This window comes from Homo sapiens, chromosome 2 (genome assembly GCF_000001405.40).
Source record: "Homo sapiens chromosome 2, GRCh38.p14 Primary Assembly".
In the NCBI taxonomy this organism is placed as follows: Eukaryota; Metazoa; Chordata; class Mammalia; order Primates; family Hominidae; genus Homo; species Homo sapiens.
Window position 1 is genome coordinate 161,955,711 of NC_000002.12, and position 13,421 is coordinate 161,969,131.

The 13,421-nt window shown below is 34.2% G+C and overlaps 1 protein-coding gene across 27 annotated transcripts in view; it reads left to right on the top strand.

The window, feature by feature from the left end:
* SLC4A10 (solute carrier family 4 member 10) overlaps positions 1-13,421 on the top strand; it is a 360,855-nt gene that overhangs the window by 331,295 nt on the left and 16,139 nt on the right. For all 27 annotated transcript variants that reach the window (NM_001354461.2, NM_001354447.2, NM_001354441.2 and 24 more), the window contains 4 exons: positions 1,279-1,530; positions 2,777-2,845; positions 8,425-8,598; positions 9,341-9,463. In NM_001354461.2, the coding sequence (NP_001341390.1) occupies positions 1,279-1,530; positions 2,777-2,845; positions 8,425-8,598; positions 9,341-9,463 (618 nt within the window). The remainder of the gene's footprint in view (positions 1-1,278; positions 1,531-2,776; positions 2,846-8,424; positions 8,599-9,340; positions 9,464-13,421) is intronic.

The window sequence follows — 13,421 nt, forward strand, 5'->3', positions numbered from 1 at the left end:
ATATGCAACAAATACTCAGTGTGTTTCACACTCCAGGCTATAAGAGCTCTCATACTGACTACAAACTGCTTGAAGTTATATAAAACTACCTCTAAAAAAGACTATTATTCTCCTAGAAGAATTGGTAATTTCTGCTCATGGTCATAATAACAAATTTAACTGCTGTATTTATTTTAAAATTACACTTACTAAATTTGATTCTGAAATGTTTGATGCGTATTTTATTTTCAAAAAAGTCAATTTGTAACTTTTATTGATTGCTTATTGTGTGCCAATGATTGTGCTAAAAACTAGAGGAAATACTGAGAAATTATATAAGTTATCTGATCTTAAGAAACATATTAATAGTTTTATTAAGGAGCCTTGAAACCTAATGAGTACAAAAGAAACATTTATTGTTTAACCACTAGAATATAATAGTACCTAACATTTTCTGATTGCTTTCTATTCAACAGATATTATTCCAAATGATTTACAACATCAACTAATTTAATTATCACAACAGCCCAGTGAGGTGCCTTCTACTATCATCATCATCGTTTTTCAGATAGGGAAAAAGAGGCACAAGAGCTTAAGTGATTTATTGGTTGAGCTAGCATTTCATTCCAGGCAGTCTGACTCCAGAACTTATATTCTTAACCACTTTATTATACTGCCTCTCATAAAGCAGTCACTAAAAATTAAAAATAAAAGGTGGAACATAAAATAGGCCATCCCTTTGGCTGCTTCTGAGGCTCTACACTTCGATTCCTGCAGGGTATGGAGGGAGTGCTCTTCCCCATCTTTGATTTCCCTCCTCAGAGAGCACCCTGTCTGTGCAAGAGGGCAGTTTTCACACACCCCATTGCACCTATTTTTCCTCCTTTACATTTCCTACCTGGTCCTAGGAGGCACTTAGTTTGCAACACCTGGAGATCAGTGACAGTGGAGTAGCATAACAGAGGAAATAGAAAACAAAAAACCGTGATTTCTAAGGAGGGGCTTAATTTGTCTAGTGCTGAAACTGAAGCAAATTAGAACAAGATAGCACTATATTAAGGAGAAAATGACTATACAGGGGAGCTTAGGCTCCATGATATTATTTTTTCTAATAGAAGTCACCCAATGAGACAAACGAGGGCAATTGGAAACTGAGTGTTTGTTTAAGAGTTACTCCAGGAGATCTGATATGAAGGGCTTGTTGAGTATCATCAGGAAGTGGTTTCTATTCGCAATCAGGCCACCCTTAGCCCTGTTATTGACACAGTTTCTTTCTCTCTTTCTTTCTTTTTTAAACAGAAAGGTTGTGGGTACCATCTGGACCTATTAATGGTGGCTGTCATGCTCGGTGTATGCTCCATCATGGGCCTGCCATGGTTTGTGGCTGCCACAGTCCTCTCCATCACTCATGTCAATAGCCTAAAACTGGAATCAGAATGCTCAGCTCCAGGAGAACAACCCAAATTTCTCGGCATTCGGGAGCAAAGGGTTACTGGGCTTATGATTTTTATTCTTATGGGTTCATCAGTCTTTATGACCAGTATTCTGAAGGTAACAAAATCTGTCTTTATGAACTTGAGAGAAAGAATACATTTATCATCATTTAAAATTTTCATTTGAATCTGAGCCATAAATTTGCAAATATTGTGTGGCATGTGATGAAAGTGATGAATTTCTGAACCATGTTTATATAATTCTTCATAACCTAAGGGAGGGAAATTACGTCCTATATTTTAAAACCCTTAAATACATAAAAATTTAGTCTGGCAAAGTAAAATTTGATGAGTAAATTATTGTAACAATTTTGAATCGGTGATCAAGCTATGGGAAAAAGTCACTCATTGTTTCTGACTGACTTGTGACCCGAATCCATTACAGGCATTCATAAAGATTCTATTTTCTTGTCAGTGGATAAATATATTAGCAGTTAATATTACTTACTATTAATAAGAGATAGAGGTGAAGGGATGAGCCTGGTTATAGTCACATACGCAGTTTTCCATTTTAAGTGCTCTGTAAAACCACTGTCTGGACATCATCATTGCATATAGTGATTTTTTTTTCACACAAAACTTGAAATCTATTTTTAAGAGGATTAACTAGTAATTATTTTGTCATGTAATTTTGTCAGATATTTCCAAGGTGTGTCAATTGCGCTATAAATTACAACACATTTTATTTGCCTATAATTTGACATTTTAATTAAATTATTTAATGATTTACACTAGTTTACTTGTATTTGATCATTAACACAAGTACCTTTGCAAGAATTAATCTCTGTTATATAAGTAATTATGTTATAGACATAAGATGATGTGAACTATTCCAATAAAAAGAGAAAATCTGAATTATCCATATATTTACAAATACCTGGTATAATACAGGAAACACATCTAAATGTTAGCTTCATTTTTAATCCACCTTTAATCCAAATATCTTATCTTTGTAAAGCAAAATTCAAGTTGTCTCCAAAGTAGCATAATAATAATATTATTGTTCATTATATACTACATGGTTTTTAAAAATAGATTTTGACCTATTAAATAATTATAACAACCCTATTGTTATCATCTCCTTTTAGATATTGGGAAACTAAGGCACAGAGAGCTTAAGTAACTTACCTAAGGTTACACAGCTAAAAATGCTAGAGCTGGAACTTGAATCCTTGTCTTCTGAATCTGTACTATACTGTTTCTATTCAAAAATGCCTTTTTTCCCTGTTTTTTTCTTTGATAAATGCAAAACCACAATCTATTTGAAAATGATTTCTGCCTTTTCTCCAATTGTTCTTTTACAGTTTATTCCCATGCCAGTGCTATATGGAGTGTTTCTTTATATGGGTGCTTCATCTCTAAAGGGAATTCAGGTAAATTACTTACAGTACTACAGGCACATCTGTGATGACTGACCTTAAGGTCTACTGATAAGTCATGTGACAGCTGAGAAAATGCCACCACCTGAGGAACAGCTTTTAGACCACAATTAAATTTCTTCAAACTTGTCAGAGTTACAAAAGTTAAAGAAGATTCTCTCCAGCATCTAAGGTTCATAATCTTATGGTACTTTTCTTTATCATAAGTATATTAAAACTGTAAGAGGCTTAGATTTTACAGCATTTTTAGAAAAATCATAGTAGTATATTTCAATATATATCCAAATATTTATAATATTTGACACTTTAATCATGTGTATGGACATCTATTGGTAAGAATAGGAAAAGTCTTTATGCACGAAGATGTTCATTGTAACACATACTATTAAAATATTGGAAACAACCCAATTCTCTAACTGCAGTCAAATAATTAGGTAACCTATGGTATATTCACTGAAAATTGATAATTATAGGAACCACAAAAGTAACATGGCAAAAATGCTTACAACATAATACAAAGTAAGAAACTATTGACCATAGGTTTATAAAGCTATGAGTTTGAGCTGGGTTGTGAAGGAAGGTGTAGAAATAAGAACAATTTGTTGAGATAGTGATATCCCGGGGGTTTTCCCCCTTGTTTTGTTTGTTTTACTGTTATATTTATAGGATTATTTTTAAAATTAGACTAAAATAAAGATATAAGCAGTTTCAAGTATAAGGGGAACTTTATGAATTATTTAAGTAAGTATTGGTTAAATAAATATTTTAGGCATGAATTTGGCAACAGATCAGCCAGATGGTTCTGGTTCAGGATGTCCCATGTGGTCACTGTCAGGGTGTGGACAAGGTCCACAGCATCTGAAGGTTTGATAGTGCTGGAGGATCTGCTTGCAAAATGGCTATTCCACAACTGTGGGCATGAGGGCATCAGTTCTTTTCTACCTGTTGGTAGGATGACTCAGTCTTTTGCCACAGTGGCCTCTCCATGGAATCCTTAGTGTGTCCTCAAACCATGGAATGTGACTCCTTCAGAGTGAGCAATATAAAAGAGAGAGAGAGAGATAGAGGAGAAAGGAGAGAAGAGAATGAGAAAGAGGATGAAGTGCTTTTTGACTTAGTCTTCAAAGTCATACATGGTCTTTCCATGTTTTCTATTTGTTAGAGGCTATCCACTACTAAGTCCAGCTTGCACCCAAGTGAAGGGAAAAGGGAGACTATCTCTTGAAGAGAAGAGTATCAAAGAATTTGTAGACACATTTTAAAACCTCCACAAGTGTATTCTAAATTTTTACAGAAGCTGTAGGCAAATTCTTCCCACGTATTTCTTTGATGATACTGTTATTGGTTGAATAGTGAGTGTTTCCTGAAAATTTATGTCCACCTGGAGTCTCAAAATGTGACCTTACTTGGAAATAGACTATTTGCCTATGTAATTAGATATGGGTTTCAAGACAAGATAATCATGGATTTAGGGTGGGCCCTAAATCTAATGACTGTGGTCCTTATAAGAAGAGAAGAGGGGTTGAGTGTGGTGTGGCTCATGCCTGTAATCCCAGCACTTTGGGAAGCCGAGGTGGGCGGATCATGAGGTCAAGAGATCGAGAACATCCTGGCCAGCATGGTGAAACCCCATCTCTACTAAAAATATAAAAATTATCTGGGCATGGTGGTGGGCGCCTGTAGTCCTAGCCACTTGGGAGGCTGAGGCAGGAGAATTGCTTGAACCTGGGAGGCGGAGGTTGCAGTGAGTGGAAATTGCACCACTGCACTCCAGCCTGGGAGGCAGAAAGAGACTCTGTCTCAAAAAAAAAAAAAAAAAAAAAAAGAAGAGGGGAGAACACAGAGAGACACAGGACAGGGAAGAAGGCTATATGAAGATGTAGGAAGGCCAGGCACGGTCAGCTCACACTTCTAATGCCAGACCAAGGCGGGTGGATCACCTGAGGTCAGGAGTTCGAGACCAGCCTGACCAATATGGCAAAATCTAGTCTCTACTAAAAATACAAAAATCAGACGGGTGTGGTGGTGCATGCCTGTAATCCCAGCTACTCAGGAGGTTGAGATAGAAGAATTACTTGAACCCGGGAGGTGAAGATCGCATTGAGCCGAGATCATGCTACTGCACTCCAGCCTGGACGACAGAGGGATACTCTGTCTCAAAAAAAAAGAAAAAAAAAAAAGGGAGAAAGAGATTAGAGTTTTGTTGCCATAAATCAAGGGTGCTAGGAGCCACCTGGAGCTGGAAGGGGCAAGGAAGTTTTCTCCCCTAAGACCTTCAAAGGGAGTGTGGCCCTGGCAATATCTTGCTTTAGGCTTCTGGCCTCCACAAGTGTGGAAGAATATATTTCTATTGATTTAAACCACCAAGTTGTGGTAATTTGTTAGGACAGTCCTAGCAAACTAATAGATTTCTACTTAAATTGTCCCTTGAAAAGTCTTGTTTTATAATTTAACATTATTTAGCCCAACACTCCAATGTTCTTGAAAAAGAGACTAGAGACTTATTCATCATATAGTATTTTGTCAACTGAAAAGCAAAAATAAATTGCAGCTTTTTCTATAACACAGCTAGACTCACTGATGTTCATAGCATATAAGAGAATAGTTAACCTGCAGGACAGGCAGCACGGGATCTCTGTTCCTGAGCAAATGACTAACCAGCTTCTGACTTTGGGAGAAAAAGCAGAACTTAGGCCTTAAGACAATACTGGCTGCCAGTCTGGGGGAAACTTAAGTATGAAGTCATTGCAGGTCACGGAACACCCAAAGTTGATAGTATGACTGACTCTTCATCCTGACACTGGGAAAAATGAACTGGGAGAGGGAGATGGTTGAGCCATGTTATATGTTTTAATTTTACTCAAATTAGATTTAATTTGCTCATTTAAAATTTCATGTATGAAAAGTGTAGTTTGATAGAATTTGTTTAGTAAGCCATTAGGGAAGAATATGGAAGAGGTTTTGTTTATTTGTTTTTCTTTTTCCCTTTTTTTTTTTTTTTGCCTTTGGCAAAAGTTCCATGAGTACTAATTTCATCTGTAAGTGAAAAGCATTTATTATTAGGCCCCAGGCTCACATAAATACAGCAGCAGAGTTTAAGAAACAATGTAAAATCATTTTGATGATAGGTTTCAACAGATTTTCTCCTCTAATTCCACATGATTTTATACTCATGAGATTTAGAATTGAACAAGAACGTCAAGTTTTGGAATTATTTGGGGTGTGAATCTTTTAAATGAAAATTGAAGAAAACGTTATCAAAAGCCCATGAGTTAAATATAATGAGTTTTAAAGAACACAAATGAAACATCAATCTGGGGCACATGTTGATGAACAGGGTCTCACACTGAGAAACAGTGTTCGTGAAAATTTAAGTGAGCCCCAAGAGCAGGCAGCTGAAATTCCTATTTGGAATTGTAGCTAACTGGGTGGGGAAATGTGATATTGATACTAGGATATAATAAAAACCAAATGTAAAACTCAGAATACATTTATCATGATGATGATTATTATTTAAACATATGCTAAATATAATCAGTTCCAGCAGCACGTTACTGTCTTACCCTATTGAAGGAATCTATGTTACCTGCTTGTTTGGCAATATTAAGAAACTTATTATCTGGGCTTCTCACTGTGAAACATGGCAGAAAAAACAGATCACAGTGTTCTCATGAATGCTGTTTCTGCATTCAGATATATACCCACATCTATATTCATTCCAACACTTCAGGAATCCAAAGTAAAGCAAATGTGCCATTTAAACAATAACAATTGAAGCACCCACACACTGAAGTACACTTATGCAATAACATAGCTTCACAAATGGAGAAATGGTGGCTGGGAAAAACTAGTTCTATAGAAAAGGAAATATTCCATTGTAAGCCAGAAGATTTTATTTTATTTCTTTCCTATTCCTACCTCTACCATGCACCAAGTTTTTGTTTATTTAATGACTTTTAAGTTTAAATAATATTTAGGAAATAGAAATTTTAAAACTTAATGACATGTACATGGACAGAATGGAGAGACATTATTCAGGAATGAGTTCAGCACTTAGTAGCCTGCATAGAATGTTTCAATAATATTTTTGGAATATATAAATGAATATGAATAAATGAATGGTCAGGGAATGAACTAATATATGTATGATTCTTATTTAGATAACTGAGGAAAGGAAGGCCATGTCATGCCATAAGACATAGAACACAGAAGGGAAGATAGGTTTATGTTGAGTTTGAGATTCCTATTATGTATACAAGCAGGTCTTGGTAAAACAGGGTGTTTTGACTCTAACATTTTGACTCAATGGACAACTGTTCCTTTGCATATTAATATGACACATTTGATGAGAATTGCCTACAGTTTTTAAAATAAGTTAGTTAAGAAATAAAATCTAATATTACTTTTTGAAAATGCATAATGGATGTTACTGTAGAGATGGCATGAAATAAAACAGTGACTGACAGTGATTGAAACCATTATTTTCTAAATAATCGCCTCTAGTTGGAAACACTGAAAATTGCAAAAATTGGCCGAAGAACAATAAACCAAATAATCTATATAAAATAAAACTATCATGCAGTATGATTTGTTAGTAAATAAAATGTGATTAAAGATTTAAGCTTCCTGTGTGCATTTAATTTATAAAATTCAAAAAAAGAAAAATTGGTTTGCTTGATTAAAAAAGCCCTCAAAGTCAAAGCTGTAACATAATAGTATGAAGTACTATAACAATAGTGTTATGTAATACTATGTACTATCTTTATGGCAAGATTGAAACAAATAACATTGATTGAGATGAAAATAATTTTAATAAAATACAACTGAAAATATATAAATGACGTGACAGTGCTGTATATAAAGTTAATCAAGAAATTAAATAGAGTTAACAAAATTTGCTCTGGAACATACTTTATTAACAAAATTTATTTAGGTTAAATTTTTATGGTTAAGATGTTTGTGTCCATAAAGACAGCATCTAAACTTTTGTTGGGGATTAAAGGGACAAAGTCAAAACAGCAGAGTCAAAATAAGGAGGTTAAAATACCGTACTTAGCAGCTGGATAAGGGTCTAGAACTCAGGAGAGAGCTAAGGCAGAGACGTAGGTCCGTGAATCATTAGCAAGTCTGTGAAAGTCAAAGCCATGGGTATGGATGAACTATTCCAGGAGAAAAGAAAACAGAGAATGAGAGTCCAGGAATCCCAATGTTGAGGGGCAAATAAAGGAAGAGATTGTGTTGTGACAATGAAAAAGAAGATGGTTAATTATGTTTTGCTTCACAGGGCTCCACTCTTCAAGGTAGCAATATTTAACATTGGCTTTCTATTTTTAAACTCTTCTAAATTGTAACCCGTCTCCATATTCAAGAAAATGTGGGCTATTGTTTAACTGAAATTGTAGTGTTTCAGAGGGTAAGCATAACAATCCCATTGTCTTGATGCCGAGATATCAACTTAGTGTTATCCAGGTATGTCATTTAACCCAAAATTGTGGACCATATTAAACATCAACTTGTCCTACTTTTATTGTTGTCTTACACCTAAAAACAATTTAGTCTGTTTAATCTTTTAGTTCTTTGATAGGATAAAGCTCTTCTGGATGCCGGCAAAACATCAACCAGATTTTATATACCTAAGGCACGTACCGCTTCGAAAAGTGCATCTCTTCACAATTATTCAGATGAGTTGCCTTGGCCTTTTGTGGATAATAAAAGTTTCAAGAGCTGCTATTGTCTTTCCCATGATGGTATGAAACTTCTGTCAACTATTTTTCTCTTTCTCTGATTTGCTGGTCTCTTTGGAAACATAAACACATGAATTGAAACTGGAACAACAGAGTCATTTTGAACAATTATTGGAAAATATAAGTTTTGGCACTGAAAGTGTGACTAAGATAGGGTTTAAGAATGCCTATGAATTTCAGTGATTCCTATTAGTTTTGTCTCTATCACTCTGAATGTTTGTGGTAGTCTGAATTAATTGAAGCTGGATGGAAAAATGCATTCTTCCAAAATTTAACATTAAAGATACTAGCAAATATGAAAAATTAGGATTTTTAAAATAACATTGTATTAAATGTTTCAGGCAAGTTTCAAATACTTCAAAAACTATAGTGAATTTGAATGACTAAATAATTTCATAATTATTAGTATAGATAAGAATGTTCTCGTGTTCATTTAATATAGTATAAACTATTAACTACATGTATTTAAGGAAACATAGTCAAATACATTTTATAGGTTTTTTAAAATAGCTTATTTAATAGACTCCCATATTGGTTAAAATCATAGTCATTATTGTGGTGATGTAGTAAGAAAAGAAAATGAAGGAAGCAGAAGACTAGACAATGTTTTATACATATATATCTTTAATTTTTACTTTAATCTCAGGCCTAATAGAAATTGTTTCTACCAAAAACCATACAGGCAAATCTACACCTCTCGTTTTAATTTTTTTTCCACTTTAAACTAGTTTATTATTTACTTCAGGTGTTAGCCCTGGTATTTGTAAGAAAGTTGATGGACTTGTTGTTCACGAAGCGGGAACTCAGCTGGTTGGATGATTTGATGCCCGAGAGTAAGAAAAAGAAACTGGAAGATGCTGAAAAAGAAGTAAGAGCAAAATCAATGTTTTATAAAGAAAGAAAAAAGGAACATAGTAATATTTCTTTGCAAAACTAAATTATTGTTTTTATCTTTAGACAGTTTTGTCTTTAGACAGTGATCACTAACAACCACAAGTAGACTAGTTTGGAAGTTTAATGTTTAAAATCATAAAGATTTGAACAGAGAGAGAATGAAGATCTTATAGGAGGAAACCAAATCCTAATGAAATATGGAAATACTTTGTACTAAAATACCCTCCAAATTGTAAGGCTCATTTTTCTGATTCCTCTCCTATGGATGGCAGAAACTTGCTAATACTTAACTATTTCCAAATTATGATCATGCAGTGATTGTTTTTTTGTTACATATGTGAGAACAAAAAGAAGAGACATTATTACTGTTGGTATTTTCCTAGGGAACAGAGTTTTAATCAAAATATTCTAATGAATAATTATTTATTCTTGAAATAGGTGAAATGTTTAGTAGGAAAAATGTTGATCTGATTTGCTTTCAAAGTGATTTAAGATTGAGTAGATGTTGCAGAAACTTCTGGAATTTATTTTTACAGGCTACTTATTTATTTTATTCTATTTTATATGGTATAACAATGTATTATAAGTTTCGTGGCATATTTAAAGTTTATATGTAAGCCTGAGTCTATTTTGAAAGCACTTAATCAACATTTTTTTAAGTATATAAAAACTACAAAGAGTGTAAATGAGGGAAAAATAACTAGCGTAACATTTAGCAGGATGATTGAGCCCATACAATGTAAAACACAACAAAGTTTTCACATAAATAGAAATGAGATTGAAATAAAATATTTGATGAGAATTATACTATTTTTCTCTATAAGTAGTCAGTAAATGTATTCAACTTTCTATTTCCTCAAACCATAGATATATTTCCTATTTCCTTTGGGGAATTCATTTGCAGATGTTTCAGAGGTCTTAGTCATTTAATGAGGTCAGATCAGGCCATAAATCAAATGAGGTTTTTTCTTTCTCAGAAATTTATACCAATATGGTTACGTAATGTGTAATTGGTAATTCCCTTACTCTACATGGTGTTCTATCACTAACAATGGATTCCCACAGATAGAGATTCATCATGATGATGTGTCTTAATCCTGTAAGAATGTTTCAATTTTTCCAAATATTGTAGAAGGCAATACTTAGACTCATACTTCTAGTAATATTAATGTTAACACAAAAAATGATATTATACAATTGTTATTATTTATTTTTCTGTTTGATATATTTTTATTTAAATATTAGTGCTTTTTTAAAAAATAATACTTTGAGTCAGGCGCAGTGGCTCATGCCTGTAATGCTAGCAGTTTGGGAGGCTGAGGCGGGCAGATCACGAGATCAGGAGATAAGACCATATTGGCTAACATGGTGAAACCCCGTGTCCACTAAAAATACAAAAATTAGCTGGGCATGGTGGTGCACACCTGTAGTCTCAGCTACTCAGGAGGCTGAGGCAGGAGGATCACTTGAACCGGGAGGTGGACGTTGCAGTGAGCCACTGCACTCCAGCCTGGTGACAGAGCGAGACTCCGTCTCAAAAAAAAAAAAAACAAAAAACTTTGACTAGGATATTTTGATAGTCTCTATTTCTTTTTAGGCCTTTAGTAAACGTTTGCTTTCATCCTCAGATACTCTTCAAGAAAATATGGTATAATTTGGCACAAGTTAAATTTAAATAAAACGGACACTAGAACACAGAAATTCTAAAATCTTAAGTTATCTATATTTGATGTAAATAAAATTATTGAGATCAAACACAACACCCAAGAAGGTTTAAATTAATTTAATTTTGATGAAAAAGCTCTTGGCTGTGAGCTTGCCTTTCAGTCTTTTTGATAATGTCAGTACAGCAGACCCTTGAATAATATAGCATTGTTATAATGTTGATGAGAAAAGAAAAAAAAAATTCCCTGGCCAGGGCCACTGTCTGTAGGGAGTTTGCACATTCTCCTCATATCTGTGTGGGTTTTCTCTGGACACTTCGGTTTCCTCCCACATCCCCAAAATGTGCCCATTAGGTTCATTGGCGTGTCTACATTGGCTCAGTGTGAGTGAATGTGGGTGTGTGTGTGAGTGTGTGCTGCAAGGGAATAGCGTCTTGGCCAGTCTTATTTCTCATCTTGTACCCTGAGCTGCCAAGATAGGCTCCAGCCACCCTCGACCTTGAACTGGAATAAGTGGGTTGGAAAAGGAATGAATAAATGAATACAAATGACTGTAAAATAAAAATTCATCAAGTATACGATAATCACACAAATGTACGACAACAATTTGGTATGAAAATGCTCAGTGAACCCAGCCATATTTGCTATTGTTTTTGAACTGCTTGGTGGTAAGATGTGCTCCTTACAATTTTCACTTTGCAAACATTTATTCCTGATTTAATCCACCCCTACTATGGCCTCAGTCACTCTCTCACTCACCAGAAATTTGGTAATTCAATATCTTACTTGCTTTTATTAACTTTTCTTACATGTTTGTATAGCTCACATTTATTTCAATGTTTAATATTAAAAACATTTTGGGTCTTTAGTTAGAAGTTTGGTGATGTTTTTGTGACCAGATATTGCCATAGGAATTTAACTCTTGTTTATATCAATTAGCCTATGGTAAAATTGGTTTTATTTATTCTTAATGTCACAGTCTCCGAGAACCTATCAATAACTTTATGTGAGCACTTATTGTACTATTAATTATACTCAAGCAGTAACTTACATATCTAATTTTGCTTTATTTTTCTGCTTTTTTTTGTTAACTGTCTTTACTGCTTCTGGAAAAAAAAAAAACGAACACAGCCCCAGACATATAATCATCTCTTTCACAGTATTCTCCTTAGATCATACTCATACCGTGAAACATTCTTGCCTTTTAGAAGTTCACAAAATGAAAAATGATATGTAATCTATTATGTAATGTTTAATATTTCTGTGACTGTGATTCAAAGATAATTTCAGATTCTCCTTTTATTTTCTGTGAAACAGGAGAGAACAAGTTTAATAATAATTGTAAATTTATTAGAATTTGCCATTCCCACTGCCCAGAACCACTCACATAGCTATGCATGTATGGTACTTATATGTGTGTGTGCCATATGCCCATTTTGGAATTTATGAATCTCATAGGGCAGAGAACATATGTAATCAGTGTCTAATCTTTTTATATTATATACCCACTGTACTTTAATGGGCATTTACTGTTCTCTGATTATGAAGATAAAGATTTTAAAAGTAACTAAATAGCACTAAATTTCCTAGAACTCATGCTTTCTGAAAAGATACAAAAATGGATTAAAGATTTCCTGGGGCAATTTTACTGCTAAATCCTTCATATCCAAGTTAGAGGGAAAAGCCTTGCAGTACATTAACTAGGCAGGTTTATAGATCCTTAAAATCTCAGATGGGTTAATATGATGATACTTTCATGTGATCCTCAGTACATGGAAAGAAACAAGAAAATCAATAATACAGTCAAGAAATAATCTATAATTGAACAATAAAATATAGCTCTGACTAGTGCAAAGACAGCTAATTCTCCATCGAACAGGAAAGAAAATAGGAAGTTTAAAGAGGTTCGCTTTCTAGCTTAGAATTAGTATTAAAAGAGTATGGTCACTAAAGACATTAGGAAGATTTAGGAATAATTATACTAAAAGTTAAATTCCTGGTTGATTTGTTTGCCCGGATCTTGGTATTCTATTTTCTTGAGGCTTACAGACTCAGTAGAAGGATGTGATCTTACTGTGGCATCTTATACTAAGGCCCAGTCTTCTAAGAGATTGTGTGTTAAGGTGGTAAACGGACAAGTTCTCCAGAAATGTTGCATTTCTGCAATTGCTCAAATTAATTGAGTAACTTTGATCATGAACTGGCAAGATGGTAAATAGCAGAAATGTCTCAGCTCCCTGAGACTTGAATTTAAAGTAGGCTCACCTC